This window comes from Homo sapiens, chromosome 22, assembly GCF_000001405.40.
Source record: "Homo sapiens chromosome 22, GRCh38.p14 Primary Assembly".
NCBI classification, from domain to species: domain Eukaryota; kingdom Metazoa; phylum Chordata; class Mammalia; order Primates; family Hominidae; genus Homo; species Homo sapiens.
The window spans coordinates 33,861,139-33,877,609 of record NC_000022.11 but is presented as its reverse complement, the minus strand read 5'-3'; the positions used below and the strand labels follow the sequence as shown (position 1 = coordinate 33,877,609).

General features: G+C 47.4%; 1 protein-coding gene across 21 annotated transcripts in view, besides 4 other annotated features; it reads left to right on the top strand.

Moving 5' to 3' along the window:
- The window catches only part of LARGE1 (LARGE xylosyl- and glucuronyltransferase 1), an 856,162-nt gene that overhangs the window by 45,215 nt on the left and 794,476 nt on the right, over positions 1-16,471 (top strand). For 3 of the 21 annotated variants that reach the window (NM_001378626.1, NM_001378625.1, XM_024452303.2), the window contains exon 1: positions 4,281-4,502. The exons of the other annotated variants lie outside the window; for them this stretch is intronic. The gene's annotated coding sequence lies outside the window, so the exon portion shown is untranslated. Of the gene's footprint in view, positions 1-4,280; positions 4,503-16,471 lie in introns of those variants that run through there. 21 annotated transcript variants of the gene reach the window in all.
- Positions 1,456-1,955: an enhancer, noted in NCBI's record as "H3K4me1 hESC enhancer chr22:34271643-34272142 (GRCh37/hg19 assembly coordinates)". NCBI's record gives its function as "activates a minimal SCP1, AML or CMV promoter by ChIP-STARR-seq in naive H9 embryonic stem cells {active_cell/tissue: H9 hESC(naive)}" and the evidence as "EXISTENCE:reporter gene assay evidence [ECO:0000049][PMID:30033119]".
- Positions 7,563-8,063: an enhancer, noted in NCBI's record as "H3K27ac hESC enhancer chr22:34265535-34266035 (GRCh37/hg19 assembly coordinates)". NCBI's record gives its function as "activates a minimal SCP1, AML or CMV promoter by ChIP-STARR-seq in primed H9 embryonic stem cells {active_cell/tissue: H9 hESC(primed)}" and the evidence as "EXISTENCE:reporter gene assay evidence [ECO:0000049][PMID:30033119]".
- Positions 8,064-8,564: an enhancer, noted in NCBI's record as "H3K27ac hESC enhancer chr22:34265034-34265534 (GRCh37/hg19 assembly coordinates)". NCBI's record gives its function as "activates a minimal SCP1, AML or CMV promoter by ChIP-STARR-seq in primed H9 embryonic stem cells {active_cell/tissue: H9 hESC(primed)}" and the evidence as "EXISTENCE:reporter gene assay evidence [ECO:0000049][PMID:30033119]".
- Positions 9,654-10,153: an enhancer, noted in NCBI's record as "H3K27ac hESC enhancer chr22:34263445-34263944 (GRCh37/hg19 assembly coordinates)". NCBI's record gives its function as "activates a minimal SCP1, AML or CMV promoter by ChIP-STARR-seq in primed H9 embryonic stem cells {active_cell/tissue: H9 hESC(primed)}" and the evidence as "EXISTENCE:reporter gene assay evidence [ECO:0000049][PMID:30033119]".

Genomic DNA, 16,471 nt, shown 5'->3' with positions numbered 1-16,471 from the left:
GAGCAGCCACATTTCAAGTGTTCTGTAGTATTTTCCTGTATCATCGTATTACATCCTTCCAGAATTCTAAGAAGTAATCATTTCTCCCATTTTGAAAATGGGAAAACTGAGGCATAGAGAGATTAAGAAACTTGCCCAAAGTCATTCAATGAAGGTTTGAACCCAGATAATCTGTCCTCAGAGCCCTGCTGTGCTAGTTTCTTACAAAATCTTGGGAAAAAAAATTTTTTTGGAGGATACTTGGGGCTTTCATTTGGCGTAGACTGGGTAGTTTATACCTCAAATGGAGGGATAATCTTGACTAGACTGAACCTCGCAACAGGGTTAACAATAAAATTACATGGCAGATGCACCCCCAGGGCACCATTATTATACATAGCAGGGCCTCAGTAAATGGTATTCTTTCCCTTCTCTTCAGACCCATAAAATCAGCTTTTTTTAAAAAGGGACTTTCTTAGTTTTGTTTACCTCTGGATCCATTCCTGGTACATAGAAGACGCTCAGTAAATACTTGCGGAAGGCAGAGAGGATGCTTTGGGGTCACTGGATGTGATGATCACTCACAGTTGTTGGGGCATCTGCAAATACAGTGGTACCATTAGATGGTGGGTTTTATAAATACAGCCCTGGGTGAAGGGGGCTTATGTGGAGAGATGACCAGAGTGTTCAGATCTGGAGTTCTTTCCCTGAGCCGAGGACAGTCATAAAGGCCAGTTTTTGTGTCCCATGCCAATGCTTTTTTTTTTTTCCAGTACATTTTTATTTTATATTTTATTTATTTATTTTTTTATGTTGTTTTAAGTTTTGAGATACATGTGCAGAATGTGCAGGTTTGTTACATAGATACACATGTGCCATGGTGGTTTCCTGCACCTGTCGACCCGTCATCTAGGTGTTAAGCCCTGCATGCATTAGGTATTTGTCCTAATGCTCTCCCTCCCCTAGCCCCGCACCCCCGCACCCCGACAGGCCCTGTTGTATGTTGTTCTCCTCCCTGTGTCCATGCATTCTCATTGTTCAACTCCCACTTGTGAGTGAGAACAATGCAGTGTTTGGTTTTCTGTTCCTGTGTTAGTTTGCTTTTAAATAGAAGTATAGCATATTATACCAGCAGCAAAGCACAGAAAGCATAAGTGTGCAGCTTGGTGAATTTTCACAAAGGTAACATATCTGTATCACCAGCTCCCAGAACAAGAAATAGGACATTACCAGTGACCCGAGTGCACCTCCCCCTCTCCCATCACTGCCCCCTGTGTCTCTAAGGGTATCTGCTCTCCTGATTTGTGACTCCATAAATTACCTTCGTGGGCCCACACTTTTGAGCAAATCCCAATGGTTGGAGTTATCATGGGGACCAGTATGGGGGTCCAGTTAGTTTCAGTCCTGTTTTATCCCCAGGCCTGGGGTTCTAACCTGGTTCCCGTGTTCATGGTACAGATGATAAACTGTGCCCACAGAGGCCCACCCAACTGCTGGGTCTCATGGTGAGAGAATAGATCAGTGATTCAGACACAGAAATTACATGCTCCAAAGCCTGCATTCTTGACCATCCTGTATGTTTTCTTCTATGACGTTTTGTTCTAAAATCCCAAGATTGGGATATTTAGGTTGAGATCTTTGGACTGAATCCTATCTGGGAGTGGCTGCTGGAAAACTGTGGAGGAGGAACCCATAGCTCTGCATCCCAGAGCCCAGATGCAGCATGCTCCTGGCCCCCGGGCACTGAAGGCTGCACCTCACCTACCAGAAGTGACCTGGCTAGCAGAGCCCATCAGGTGGGGCTGCCGGAGGTGTCAGAGTGTGGGACAGGCAGGCTTCTCATTGTCCTGTGTTTCCCGCTTCCACTTCCTGCTGTCAAGCACTCTCAGGCACTGGTGAGGGAAACTTCCAATTAAACGAAATCAGGCGGCTTCCTCCCACCAAAGTGAAAATGCCCTGTGCTGCCAAGTGCGAGCTAAATTCATCGGTCACCTGCTTTGCGGCATGGGACATGGCTGGGGCTGCTGCCTGTTGGTTGCTGTGGATTTTAGCACCAGTCACTGCTCAGAGGATGCAGCAGGCATGGCGGGCTGGGGAGGGCCATCTCTGCTCAGCCTGGAGTCCCCTTGGCATGGTTGGAGATGGGCATGTGTGTTCTGGAGGAGCTTTGCTCTCTCTGTGGCACAGCCCTCTGCCCCCATGGTTCCCCAGTCAAGAGGGACAGGTGGTGGCTGTCATTCTGCAGTTGGCCCTGGCCACAGAGAGATTTGCCAACAATTCTGGGATGGAGACACCCCCAGCTTCTTTGGCCCAGAGACTGCAGCTTGACCCATAAAGCTGCAAGCAGGCAGTTCCCGCAGCCTGCCTTTCTCTCCAGAATGGTGAGGGTGGGGTGTGGGTAGAGATACATATTATTATAGCACGAGGGTCAGTGCCCTGGCTCTGAAATTTAATTCAAAAGCCAGAATAAAATTGCCCCTCTGGAGGCAATGGTTCTTATAAAAATGAAGCCAGTAATATTTATTATAATCCTAGTGAGTGAGTTGTTGAGCAGCTAATTCTTTGCTGGCCACTGGGCCTAACCTCATAGATGGAGTGGTGTATCTCTGGAGCTAGACTGCCTGGGGTGAATCCTGTATCCTCTGCTTAGTCATGTCATCTTGGACGTTTTTCAACTTCGCTGACCTTCTGTAAAATGGGGATCACAACAGTCCCTACCTTTTAGAGCTGTGTGAATTATTAATCCATGTAAAGCACTTGGAATAGCATCTGACATGTCAGTGGCTCCATACACATGTATATAATGTTGGCAGAGTCAGTTACAGTCCTCTGACTACTTTTCTATGGTGGGAACTTTATTATTCCATGTTTAACAGACAAGGAAACCGAGGCACAGACAGGCTAAGTTACTGGCCTGAACTTTCAAAGACAGTTAAGTACCAAGGTGGAATTTGAACCCAGGGGGACCTGACTCCACACTTTCCAGTGATCGTTGGGTGGAAATAGTGTCTTGCCCAAGATTTATTACCTAAAAATGAAATATATTTCAAAAAAGATACCCTCAAACTCTAACATTTCCAGTAAAAGCAGGACAAATACTCTATTTTATAATCCATTTAAAATAATAAACATAGCTGCAGTTCGTTGAGCAAATTGCTCCGTTTCAGCTGCCACGTGTTACATTGCCTTTCTGTTTGGGTCACGCCCTGAGACCTTTGTGAAAAAGTTGTGAGGTCAGATCAAAGCGGCGGCTGATGTGCTCCTGGAAGAGGAGGTGTCCTGGGGAGTGAGGACAGTTGCAGTAGCCTCTTAGAGGAGTGAAAACCTGAAGACCAGCTTTCTACCCTTTGTCTGCACAGGGTTTCCTTGAGGTGAGGCGTGCCTGTGGTCCTGGCCTGCTGTATCCCTCTAACCTCAGCATGTCTTAGGTCCTGTCCCCGGATTCAGTCAGGCTGTCACAAAGGACCGAGTTAGCCAGGAAAGAAGAGGTTTTGCGTTGGACAGAGGTAGGATGCAAAAAGCGGCCTGTGGAAATAATGTACCATTTTCTTATTTAAGTTCCCTGAGCAGAGGCAGGAGAATAGAGGACAGGAGGAGAAGAATAAAGGAGGAGGGAGGGAGGGGAAGAGAGACGGAGGAGGGGGAGAGAGAGGGAGAGAGAATACAGCCGGGTGGGGTGGAAGGAAGAAATATCAGGGTTGGGAGGTGAGAGGAGAAGGGATGCAGCCTCAGTGGGGGAGGAGGAAGAAGAGGTGGAGGAAGGTGAAACCAGTGACTTGTACTTGGCTTCTTGTGACATGGAGTGAGGAGGGCAGGGCAGGACCCAAGTGGGAGGCAGATCCTAGGCCTGGTGGAAAGGAGGAGGAGGAGGAAGGATGTGAGGTAGCAGACAGTGGGAGGGTAAAGAATGGCATATGAATCTGAGAAAGGATCATACAAGTTTTAGTGCCAGAATTGGTGATGGGGTGTTTTGGATGGGTAAACAGAGGCACGTTGTTGGACCCTGGTCAGTGGCTGTTTCCCAGGTTCTATGGTTGTGACATGCTATCTTCCTGGGTGGGTGAAGAGGCTGGACCCCAGGCAGACGAGCACGCTGAGTGCCACCTGCTCCATGCTTCCACTCGTCCTGTGTTGCCTGCCTGCATCTCAGCTTCCCGGAAGGCCCCAGGAGCGACACGGCCTTCAGGGCTTTCAGCCGGGGGCAGGAAGTGCTCCATCTGACACCATTCAGAACAGACTAGACAAATAACTCCACAGCATGTCTCATTAGGCCAGGAACACTCCAGCTAATCGAGGCGTGCCTTTGTCGTGCGCTGCTCGTGCCAGGGGAGTTAAAAAAAGAAATAGGCCTGATCCCAAGGGTGTGGGCAGGGCAGAGATAATAAACCCAAATACAAAGTCAGGCCACCCAGGAATGAGGTGGTGTGCTCTATCGGGGCCGGATTCCCCCAGCTCCAGATCATCTGGCCAAATCTGCACCCTCCTCCCGGGCCTCCCTTTTGCTGGGGATGGTTTGGGCAGAGGTGAGTGGGCATGCTTTCTGGTAAAAGGATCCGATTTTAATGTAAGAGGCTTGCTTGTGTGTTTTCCCAGCTAGTTCACTTCCATGGCTTTATTTATTTTTTTTTTTGAGACAGAATTTTGCTCTTGGCACCCAAGCTGGAGTGCAGTGGTGCAATCTCGGTTCACTGTAACCTCCACCTCATGGGTTCAGGCAATTCTCCTGCCTCAGCCTCCCGAGTAGCTGGGATTACAGGTGTCTGCCACCACACCCAGCTTATTTTTTTGTGTTTTCAGTAGAGACAGGGTTTTGCCATGTTGGCCAGGCTGGTCTCGAACTCCTGACCTCAGGTCATCCACCCGCCTCAGCCTCCCAAAGTGCTGGGATTACAGGCATGAGCCACCGCGCCTGGCCATGGCTCTTTTCCGTGCTCCAAATTCACTCAGTTTCTGGCTCTTCCTGCCAGTGTGCTCCATAAGACCAGCTCCCAGGGAGCCCTACACTTAGCGTTTGGTCTGTAAATTCCATGGGACTTGCTTCATAGCTGTAGAAACTCAGGTTCAAGGGCGTAAAGGATGTGTCCACAGCTAGTGTGTCGCTGGGGGGGTGGCGGTGTTGGTGGTGATGATGGGGATGGCGATGATGACACTGGTGATGACGATGGATAGCAGCTGCTGTGTATTTTCTTAGGAGCCGTGTTAAATTCTTTAATGGCAAAGATCGTGCTAGTAATAATAATAATAATAATAATAATAATAATAATAATAATAGATAGCATTTACTGCGTGTCTGCTCTGTGCCATGGAAGGTTCTCAGCACTTCTGGTACACTCAACCTGAGAATGACTCTGTGAAGTGGATGCTGGCGTGCCCATTTCACAGTGCAAATAATGAAGGCAGTGTCACGTCAGAGTCTGCATTCTTACTGCTAAGCCACGCCGCCACATGGCAGTCAAGACAGCGTGCTGTGTGTGGAGTGACCAGCCTCTGTGGGTGGGCGAGTGACTGGCTGAAAGGTTGACGTCAGAGCATGCTCTATTTTAGGTTCTTCAACTCGAAGGAACCCCCTCCATCACTCCCACCTCCTGCCACCCTAGTTCCTCATTCCTTTCCCCAATATTGTTTTCTTTTCTTTTTTTTTTTTTTTTGCTGATTTAGAAATAGACTTGACTTCCTGGTGCTGAGACTGTTTAGATCAATTAACACTAATGAACATTGCTAGTTAGCTATGGACTTTAGTTCTTCAAGCCTCTGACCTTAAATTTTTTTTTTCTGAAGGTCATCAATTAACTATTTACTTCATTATGGATTAGTAATCATTAGTTAAATATTGCCATTTGTTCTGTAGGTCACCGGTGTGGTTCATGCAGTGAAAAAATCAAGTGTTTCAGTGAAAAGTTGCAGAGAGAAAGAAAAAAGAGAATGAGGGAAGACAGAGGAGTATGTGTGTGTGTGTGCGTGCACGCTTATGTGCAGGGGAAGGAGGTTGGTAGTAGTGGTGTTTAGATTAGCCTTAAAATAAGAAGCTTGAAATTAAGGGTAAAGGTCTGGTTCCAGATGCTCTAAAGCCATCTGTTATTTACCTGGACAGATTTTGATACCTCTCTTCTGTCCTCTAATAGCATCTGTGTTCTGACTTTAGTCCTGGTACTTACCTGGATATATGGTAATTTGGCCATTTCCATGTCCTTCCAGATGGAGCACCTGGCAGGCTGAGTCTGTGTCTTTTGTATCCCCCTTACCTGACACAGTGCTGGCACACAATATGTGCTCATTAAATGCTTACTGAAATGACCTAGCACATAAAAGCTTTGTAAGACAGGAGCTTTATTTTACTCTGTCTGCTTTGTACTCTAGACACCCCAGGTATTCCTATTCTGATTTCTGTTGCTGCTATAGACCTGGGTCAGCCTTAAAATGAATATAAATATACGTTAATTTGAGCTAATGGGATGTATGGAAACCACTGCCTATCTAATTAATTTATTTGTGCCATGAAATAAATGTTTTAAGGTGCTCCTGAGTGCAGAGCATTCTATCAGCAGGTGGAATACAAAGTTTTAAAAGAGGCTAGGGATGTGGGCTGTGTCACCAGACCTTCTGAGTTCAATTCTAGATCAGACACTGTTCTGGTTATAGTGGGTCAGAGCACAGATTCTGGATCTGGGTTTGAATCCACATTAGACCACATACAAGCCTTGTGCCCTTATGCAAATGATTTAATCTCTGTATGCCTCAGTTTTCCCTCCTTTAAAATGGGACAGGCCGGGCACGGTGGCTCACGCCTGTAATCCTAGCACTTTGGGAGGCCAAGGTGAACGGATCACCTGAGGTCAGGAGTTCAAGACAGCCTGGTCAACATGGGGAAACCCTGTCTGTACTAAAAATACAAAAATTTTACGAGTGTGCTGGTACACACCTGTAATCCCAGCTACTCAGGAGGTTGAGGCAGGAGAATCGCTGGAACCCGGGAGGCAGAGGTTGCAGTGAGCCGAGATTGCGCTACTGTACTCCAGCCTGGGCAACAGAACGAGACGGTCTCAAACAACAACAACAACAACAACAACAACAACACAGACAGTCATGGGGATGTTGTGGGGTTAGGGTTGTTGTGGGAATAAAATGAGTTTGTCTGTAAAGCACTTGGTACCATGTTGATACCTGTCACTGGTATTTGTTGTTAATGAAGATTTAGTGACTTCATGTGTAAAACCCAACTGTGTCAGTACTTGTCTTCATAGAATTGTGGTGAGGACTGTATCAGTTTCCGAAGGCTGCCATAACAAACTGGATGGCTCAAAACAACAGAAATGAGACAATAATGTCTCTTGATTCCAGAGACCAGTTTTGTGTTGGCAGGGCCATGCTCTCTGAAACTGTGTCCTTCCTGGCCTCTGCCTAGCTTCTCTTTGGCACTCTGGCTGGTAGATGCGTCCCTCTAAGCCCCTGTCATCACTGGAGCTCTTTCTGTGTGTCTCATCACATGGCCATCATGTTATAAAGACACCAGTCAGACTGGGTTAAGGGCCCACCCTTCTCCACTATGACCTCATCTTAACTGAATTATATCTGCAATGAACTTGTTTCCAAATAAGGTCACATTCTGAGTGGGGTTAGGACTTCAACACATCTTTCTGGGGGATACACAATTCAACTCATAACTAGGGTGAAATGCGAGACTCCACATGAAGTATTGAACCCAGAACCTCTAACAAAACAGTGCCTTCAACATCAGCGGTTTCTGTTTTTACTTCCCCATACTCCTGATGACGGCCCTTTGTGGGGTGGCTTTGGGCAGTTCTCTGAACATCTTTGAATTTCTATTTCCCATCTTTTCACCGTGATGTGGCACGTCTTCCAGCAACACTGAATTATGTAGTTTTCCTGGTCTGCATTGCCTCATCTCTGAAATGGGGAGAAAGGAGAACCACCTCCCAGAAGGGACCCCCTTCCCAGGATGACATGAGGGTACACACCTATGTGCTGGTGGTCTGGACATGCGAGTGCTTCCCACGGTTGCTACCCCTCCTTTTGTGCCTGGTGTTTTCTCGTCAGTGAGGACAAATGGCTTTTGTAGTACCCCTGCAAACCACTGCACAGACCCGAGGAGGCTCCTCTTTTCCTTCCCATGGAGGTGGGAAGCCAGAGGCGCATCCAGATGTGAGGAGGCTTCGATTTTTCAGACCCCTGGGTTGCTTTGCAGTCAGAATGGAGAATACTTTTTTTTTCCCTACTTGGGAGGGAGCTGAACACATTTGCTACAGAGAAGTCTAGATATCTATGGAAACAGTCCTAATTTTAGCCTTGCCACACTTAATGCCAACTCTGAGAGTGTTGTTTTGGGTCAGGGCCTGGGGAGTAGGGAAGGTGAGTAGGCCTGCAGGGGTCAGATCAAGCAGGGAGTAGCCAACCGACAGACAAGAGGAGGATGCAGTAGAAATCTTAAGTGGATCCAAAGGAGCTGGCTCCAAGGGTAAGAGAGGGCCAGAATGATGAGCATTGATCAGAAAGTTGGATTTCAAATGAAAGGGTCTCCCTTCAGAAAGTTGGATTTCAAATGAAAGGGTCTCCCTTCTTTCCCCCTTTTGCTCTCCCTGTCTACATTCTGCTCATTTTTGGAGCCTCGTTCATGGCCCTTCTTTCCACAACCCCACGTTTGGAATCAGCCAGTCCTGCCCTGAGTGCCTGGCATCTTAGAATTCTGTTGAAGTACTAGTGGCTGCCCATTTAGTTTTGCCGTGAATCCGTGTACCTTGCAACCCCCTTTCCATTTAGTTTTGAGCCCCTCAAGGTCAGCCATGGTCATTGTCAAGTCTGTGTGCTGTGCCTGCCATGGGGTAGACATACAGTAAATGCATGATGAGTTGGGATTTGACATGATAGGTGATTTCTGGTTGACCAGACCAGGGCGTGGGCAATCACTAGAAAGGGGCATCAAATGAAGGAGTTTTTAATAAGAGGCACAGAAATGTTTTTGATGGGAGGAATCTGCCTGGTTAGGGGAGTGGAAATTGCCTGTAATACAATTAAGGACATGTTAGGGAGGGCCATGGGCAAGAGGAGGTCATGGTGTGGCAGATGCTGGCTGGGATGGTGAGGGAAGTGAGGGACAGTAATGGTTTTAGGCCACGTGGGGAGCATCACCTAACCTCATTTCAGCCCTGTCCTCCCCACCAGGTGAACTCCTAGCAGGAATCCTTGTAGATCAGATACAGGAAGACCCTTAGACATCATCTCGTCTCGAAGTGTGGTATTCAAGACAGGCATTTTTACACTAAAACTTGGCTCTTAATTTTAGTACATGTATAAAAGCCACATAGAACTAGCATTCCAAACCTGGCGTTTCTCAGGTGTTTCTGCTTCCGACGAGGCCGGCTGTGGTAGTTGCCTCTCAGTCCCATGGATTACAGGGTGCTGTTCCCACACACCCATGCACATGTGAGACCTGTAATGAGCACAGGGCCTGTTGTCACCATTTGGAACGAAGTCTTATGCAGATGGACGAGGTTGCTGGTATGAATTCTTGCACTGAATTTTCATATGCTTTGTATTCTTTTCAGCAGGATGAAATGTACCGTGGTTGTGGGAAAATGGAGCGGGTAGTGTGCTGCAAGAGATTACAGGGTAGGCTGCTTGGATCCGGTTTGGCCCTCTCCTCTTGAATGAGGAGGGAATTGGGCAAGCCGCAGGTAGACCAGGTGGCCCCGATAGATAGTGACCGAACTGGTACTTGAGCTGCATCTCCTCTTCTTGTCTAGCCATCTTGGTGTTCTAGGTAGGACATGAGCTAGGTCCTACCAAAGACTTGGGCACTTTATTTAAGTTCTCTCATGTAATCCTACTAACAACGTTGTGAAGCATGCACTATTTTTACTTACTAAACAAAAAAGGAGCGATCGGGACTAGAGGACTTGAAATAACTTTCTGAGGCCCAGCCTGCTGGTGCGAAGTAGATCCAGTGATTCAACGTGGCTCCATCCCATGACATTTAGCTGTCAGGGAGCTGCAAACCTATGAAACAGAGCTTTCAGATTTTGGAAATAGAAACGCAGGCAGCATAGTGCCACTTGCTGCCTCCTGGGAAAGCCCCTTGTCGTGAATAATAGAACCAGCGCTAGAAGGCACGTTGCTCAGGCCGGCAGGTGAGTCCGAGGGCTGGGGAGGGGTTTTCTGGGCAGTGGGACACCTCCCTCTTAGGGGGTTTCATTTGTCCAGGGCCAGTGAAAGGCTGTTTGGTCCCTCTGCTGAGTGAACAGTCCCAGCCCACAGGATGAGTCAGAGCAGAGTCCAGAACAGAAGGCAGAGGGCATGTGTGCAAAGGCCATGTTTATCCCAGGCATTTGGATCTTAAGATTCCTGTTCATGATGATTAAGGTTTTATACATAACACTGTTTACAGACTGCTTTATGATCATTTATGAGTGTCACCTGGCAACAGCTGAGTTAGCCACATCCATCCACCGTGGGGTAATTAACTCTGGGCCCACCCAGAGCCCAGTTCATTGCTTGTGCATTATTGAGCCTCCTCCCCACACCCTCATTCATTCATCTATCCATCCATCCATTCATTCATTAGAGCCCTTTTTGTCAGATGCCACCTTTGTGGGTAGCTTTGTGGTTGGCATTTCTTTTTCATTGCTGAGAATACGTAATATGCTGGACATGTTGGTGTTCCTGTTAGCGTAAGCAATAATCAACCCCTTTAGTGAGACTGTAAGCTCCATGAGGGCAAGGCCTTTGTTCATTTCTATGTCTCTGGTGCCTAGAAGAATGCCTACCCATAGTAGGTGCTCTGTGAACATTTATTGAAAAAAAAAGTGAATGGACTGAGTGTCTGCTATGTTTGGGCCTGTGGGAGGTGCTTTCTATAAAAGTCTTTCTAATCCTCGCAGCAATCCACCGTGCACCATAAGGGTGTCTGTCGTCCATTCTAGGGCTCCATCTGGTGTGTGTTTACCATTATCATAAGCATTATTGTGAGTGCTTCCAGAGCAGATAATCCTTATTATGACTGAATAATGTAGCTACATTATCCCCATTTTACAAATGAGGAAATGAGGCACAGAGAGGTGAAGTAACTCACCCAAGGTCACACAGACCCTCAAGCTTCAAGCTACTCCTTCACCTTCATATCAGCACTGTCTTACAGAACCTTCTGCAGGATGGAACTGCTCTCCATCTGCACCATCCGATGTTGTCACCGCTAGACATGGGTAGTTACTGAGTACTTGAAAGGTAGCTAGTGCAACTGAGGAACTGAATTTTTAATTTTGTTTAATTTTAATTAAATTTAAATAGCCACATGTGGGTTGTGACTCCCATACTGGGCAAAACAGCCCCCTATATGCTGTCTCTAAAGAACAACAGGCTGGGTACAGTGGCTCATACCTATAATCCCAGTGCTTTAGGAGGCTGAGGCAGATTGCTTTATGATCATTTATGAGTGTCATCTGGCAGCAGCTGAGTTGGCCACATCCATCCACCATGGGGTAGTTAACTCTGGGCCTACCCAGAGCTGAGGCCGGAGGCTGAGGCAGGAGGATTGCTTGAGCCCAGGAGTTGGAGACCAGCCTGGGCAACATGGTGAAACCCTATCTCTACTAAAATTACAAAAATTAGCTGGGCATGGTGGTGTGCATCTGTAGTCCCAGCTACTTGGGAGGCTGAGATGGGAGGATTGCTTGAGCCTGGGAGGCAGAGGTTGCAGTGAACTCAGATCATGCCACTGGACTCCAGCCTGGATGACAGAGCGAGACCCTGTCAAAAAAAAAAAAAAAAAAAAAAAAAAAAAAAAAAAAGAATAACAGCTAACATTGAATGCTTACTATATACTGAGTATTTTTTAAATGTTTTACATTTAAAATCCTGACAACCACAAATGAATTAACAAGAGTCAGAAGTTAAATACCTCCTTTACTCTCAAGATTTTATGGCAAGATACTAGTGTAGCTGGATTCTCCCCAAGGATGCATTCTGCCTGGCCCAGAGTTTTCAACTATCACCCTATTTTTATCCTTATTTTCCCTGCGTACAGCAAGGGATATCACCATGGAAAGGATCTCATTGTTCATAATATTTGTCAGCCCCAAACACAATGCTACCTGCCACCCTCCTTGGTAAAGGGGTCAACCTATATGCAGGCTTGCGAACTCACTGTTCCCACCAAATGACTCATTTAGGTTGAAAACATTTATTTGCACAAAGTGGAGTTGTGTCAGTGTCACTTTGAAAAGAAAAAGACGCCAATATTCCCTACCAGGATGTTCTGTCATGAAAACAAACAGATGAAACAAAATCTACTTCGAGGTCAGAGTGAGAAGAAGAGAAGGTCCGGCTGAAATTATCTGCAGTCTTGCTGGAGGGAACAAATGGTTGCAGCTCATGGGTATAGTGGCATTTTACGGCTCCCAGCTGTGCCTTCCCTTCTTGAAGATGGGTGAAGGGGAGTAGGTTCTGGGCTAGACTTGGGGCTATGGAGCAAAAGCAGAGGGAGCTTGTCCTGCACAGACGTGGAAGCAGAGGTCACTGAATTCTGTTCCACAGTAGAAGTCAGCAGTACTTTATGATAACAGTGCATCCAAACGTGTTCTGTCTGCTGGGCTGGGCCTGACACCCACGGCTGTGACTCTTTCAGAAACTGCGAACCAACCTGTGGGTGGGCCAGGGATCCAGGTCAGGAGCAGAAGTAGGTTAAAGGTGATCGAGAGAGACATGTGAGAGAGTGAGCGAGAGATAGAGGCCTGCAGGATAAGGCCACATCAGGAGTACAGTCCAAATATAGGCAGTGATTGTGAAACCCAGGGACTGTGGGCTAAAAGTGCTGTAGATTCTGAAAGTAGGAAGAGGAAAAATGTGGCCACGGGCCTCTGGGGAAAGCCCTGTTCTGTGGGCTTTGGCCACTTAAATCTATATGTCTTCTGCTGCTGTCTCAAGGCAGTGATGCAGCCCTGACTATCCTTCTGCCCATCTATCCATTCATCCATCCATCAGTCCAGCATTTGAGTCTCTATTCTATGCATGGTACTGGGGATAGTGTGGTAAACAGGGCACCATCCCTACCCTCAAGGAGCTTACAGTCTTGCCTGGTAAAATGTACAGAAGCATGCATTTTTGAAACAAGTAAAGGAAGAAGACTTAGGCGCTCTCCACTCCAAGGCCACCTGCACCTTGCCTATGTAGCTTTCCCCAGCAACACGAAGCCAGCATTGGTTTCTTAAGTTCCCTTCTTGTCTTTATCATGTATGTACTTAGTATCTGTATTGTGCTTTGGGCTATTTATTTATATCAGCATAGCACTTTATTGCATCTTTATTGTAAATAACCTTCCTGAACATAGGGGCCTCCATGTCTTTGCTGGGTCCTAGCTCCATGGTAGGCACTGATGGGGGCTCCAGGATTATTGAAGTAAATGAGAGCCCCTTAAACCTACAAGGAACCTTAATGGTCATCAGTGGTCTGAAGGGTCTTCTTGACCTTTCCTGCCTCCCAGCTTCCTCCTGTCTCTGTCAGGTCAAGACTCTACCTGCCTGGTAGGTTCTGTACAAACCATTGCCAGGCAATGGAAGAAGAAAGGGGAGCTGCACCCCTCACTGGAGTTGGAACTTCTGTGATGCTTGTCATAGCTCCATATGCCTCACATTCACCTGGAAACATGGGAGGCGTTAGTTAGGCCAGATTAACAGATGTGGGATGCCATATAATGACTTTGCCTTCAAGTGAAACTGCAGTCCAATGGGAGCAGGCCCCAGACATTGGCCTCCTCAAAACCCTGGGTTACTTTTAGTGTCTTCCAGTTCAGGAACCACAGTTTTCAATTTTTTGAAAATAAAAGTACTCCTATCTCCTTTCATTTTTTTTTTTTCTGAGACAGAGTCTCGCTCTGTCATCCAGGCTGGAGTGCAATGGCGCAATGTCGGCTCACTGCAACCTCCGCCTCCTGGGTTCAAGTGATTCTCCTGCTTCAGCCTCCTGAGTAACTGGGATTATAGGCATGCGTCACCACATCCAGCTAATTTTTGCATTTTTTTTTTTTTTTTGGTAGAGACGGGGGTTTCACCATGTTGGTCAGGCTGGTCTCGAACTCCTGACCTTGTGATCCGCCCACCTCGGCCTCCCAGTGTTGGGATTACAGGCATGAGCCACTGGGCCTGGCTCCTCCTTTGTATTTCTAATAAAGTTTACCTGAACTTACAGGGTCTTCTAGAAATGGGGATGGGATTGACCAGGCATTGTCAGCCATCCCCTGGCCCCATCGTGAGGCAGGAGACTGTTGGGCAAGCCGAGACGGCAGGGACCCCACCCTCTTGACTGCTAAAGGAAATAAAGACAACAGCATTATTGAGTGCTTCTCCATGGCAAATGCTTTGCCTCAATTACCTGATGAGGTTGGATTAACCTCCATTTCAGAAATGAGGGAAGTGAGGCTTGCAGAGGTGGCACGCCCGAGATAAAGGAGTGACTGAGTGGCAAAGCTGAGACTTGAACCCTAAACTGTCGGCTCCCGTGTTCCTGTGTGCCACGGTGCTGTGTGAGAAGTGGGAACGGTGAGTTCCCTGCTGGGCTCAGTATGGAGGCAAACCGCTTTCTGCAACACATTCCTATGCTCTCGGACAGCTTAATTGACTTCTGTGCCTTAATTTTCTCATCCGTGAAAGAGTATAATAATAACAACAATAATAATAATAGACTAGAAATTGGCCAGGCCCTTGGTGAGGACTCGGTGCGTGCTACCTCTGATAGATACTAATATGTAGGTATAGTAGGAACATCAATCATCAATATTGTTTTGACTCTTTTGACCTCTGATAAAAAATTTTGACCATGGACTGCCCTTTTTGTGTTAATAGATTTGTTAGGTCAATGAAAACACAGCTCTCACAAGAAGAACTTATGTTTTATAACACCAAGCCCACAAACGAACGTCATGGTGGCCCCCGAGGACACGTGACAGAGCTGGGATTTGAACCCAGGCCTATCTAGCCTCTGTGTCCCCACACTGTTTCTCTTGGGACCCAGGTGTCCGGCTGGCCCTCAGCTTCCTGCGTTCCTGGTGATTCGGCCCTGGCGGTCACAGTGTCAGGTACACCCACTCAGAGTGGGTTTATGATACAGTTAGGAAGGAGCCCAGGCCACAGCACTGGAAAAGACGAAATTGTAGTGTTGATCAAGGCCAGGAGCCTCTTTGCTCAGCGACTGCCGTCAATCCTCTTCCCTGAGAAGATCGCCTGTATTGTTCAAGATGTTCGGATATAACCTCCCCCAGGAAGGCTTCCCTGATGTCACACACACCTCTGTCGAAGGCTCCCAGGTGGGCCGAACAGAGTCTTCCTTTGCTCCCATGGCAGCTTACAGGATCTTTGGCAGCCTTTTCCATGATGTTTTCTTCCCAGGGGTTTGTGTAGCTTGTCTTCACCACTTGCCGTGAGCTCTCGAGGACAGAGGATTTGTCTGTGTTAGAAACATCTGGTTCCTGCCGGGCACGGTGGCTCATGCCTGTAATCCCAGCACTTTGGGAAGGTGAGGCAGGTGGATCATTTGAGGTCAGGAGTTCAAGACCAGCCTGGCCAACATGGTGAGACCCTCTGTCTACTAAATATACAAAAAAATGAGCCGGGCATGGTGGCGCGTGCCTGTAATCCCAGCTACTCGGGAGGCTGAGGCATGAGAATTGCTTGAACCCAGGAGACAGAGGTTGCAGTGAGCTGAGATCATGCCACTCCAGCCTGGGTGACAGAGTGAGACCTTGTCTCAAAAAAAAAAAAAAAAAAAAAGAATGTCTGGGTCCCAAAATCCACTTTTCTTCTACTGAGGACATAGGAATGGTCACCTTCCCTGCCCTTTTCTAGGGCCATGTGGCTCATTCTGGCCGAAGGGTGGTGAGCAGAAGTGAGTTGCATAATCCCAGTGAAAGCATTTATTTGCGGGTGCAAGATCTCCTGGGGCTGGCGCGAAGTGCTGGGGGGCAGGACTGAGGAGTGGCACCAAATGCTGCGTAGGAGAGTTCTCCAGATTTGACAGTCAAGGATCCTCATGGCAGCATGGAGAGGCCAGGCGTGTCTGCGTGGCCATTCTGTGGGTGAGGAGCCTGAGGCTTAGTGAGGTTAATTGCTTGTCCAAGGGATCTTGTGCAAATTCCATGGCTTGTTCTATGGCAATATGCTACATTCGCTGTTATGATTTCTTGTTGTTGCTGTAAATTGTAGGCTAAGGGTGTGTGTGTGTGTGTGTGTTTGTGTGTGTGTGTAGGTGGGTGAGGAGTGGGAGTGAGGAACAGCTAGCCGAGTTGCAGTGCTTGGTCCTTTTGCAGAATGGGTGTTAGCAAAGGCTGGCATGCTTAGCCCAGGTGGTGGCTGTACTCGGCCACCAAGTTAACGAAGAGAAAAACGAGTTAGCTGTTACCTCCTCTCAGATGTCAGTTTTCCTTTAATGTGGAGCTTTGGAGAGAATACCAAGATAGGGCTGTGCTTACTGACCTTTTCCTTGCCGCACAGAT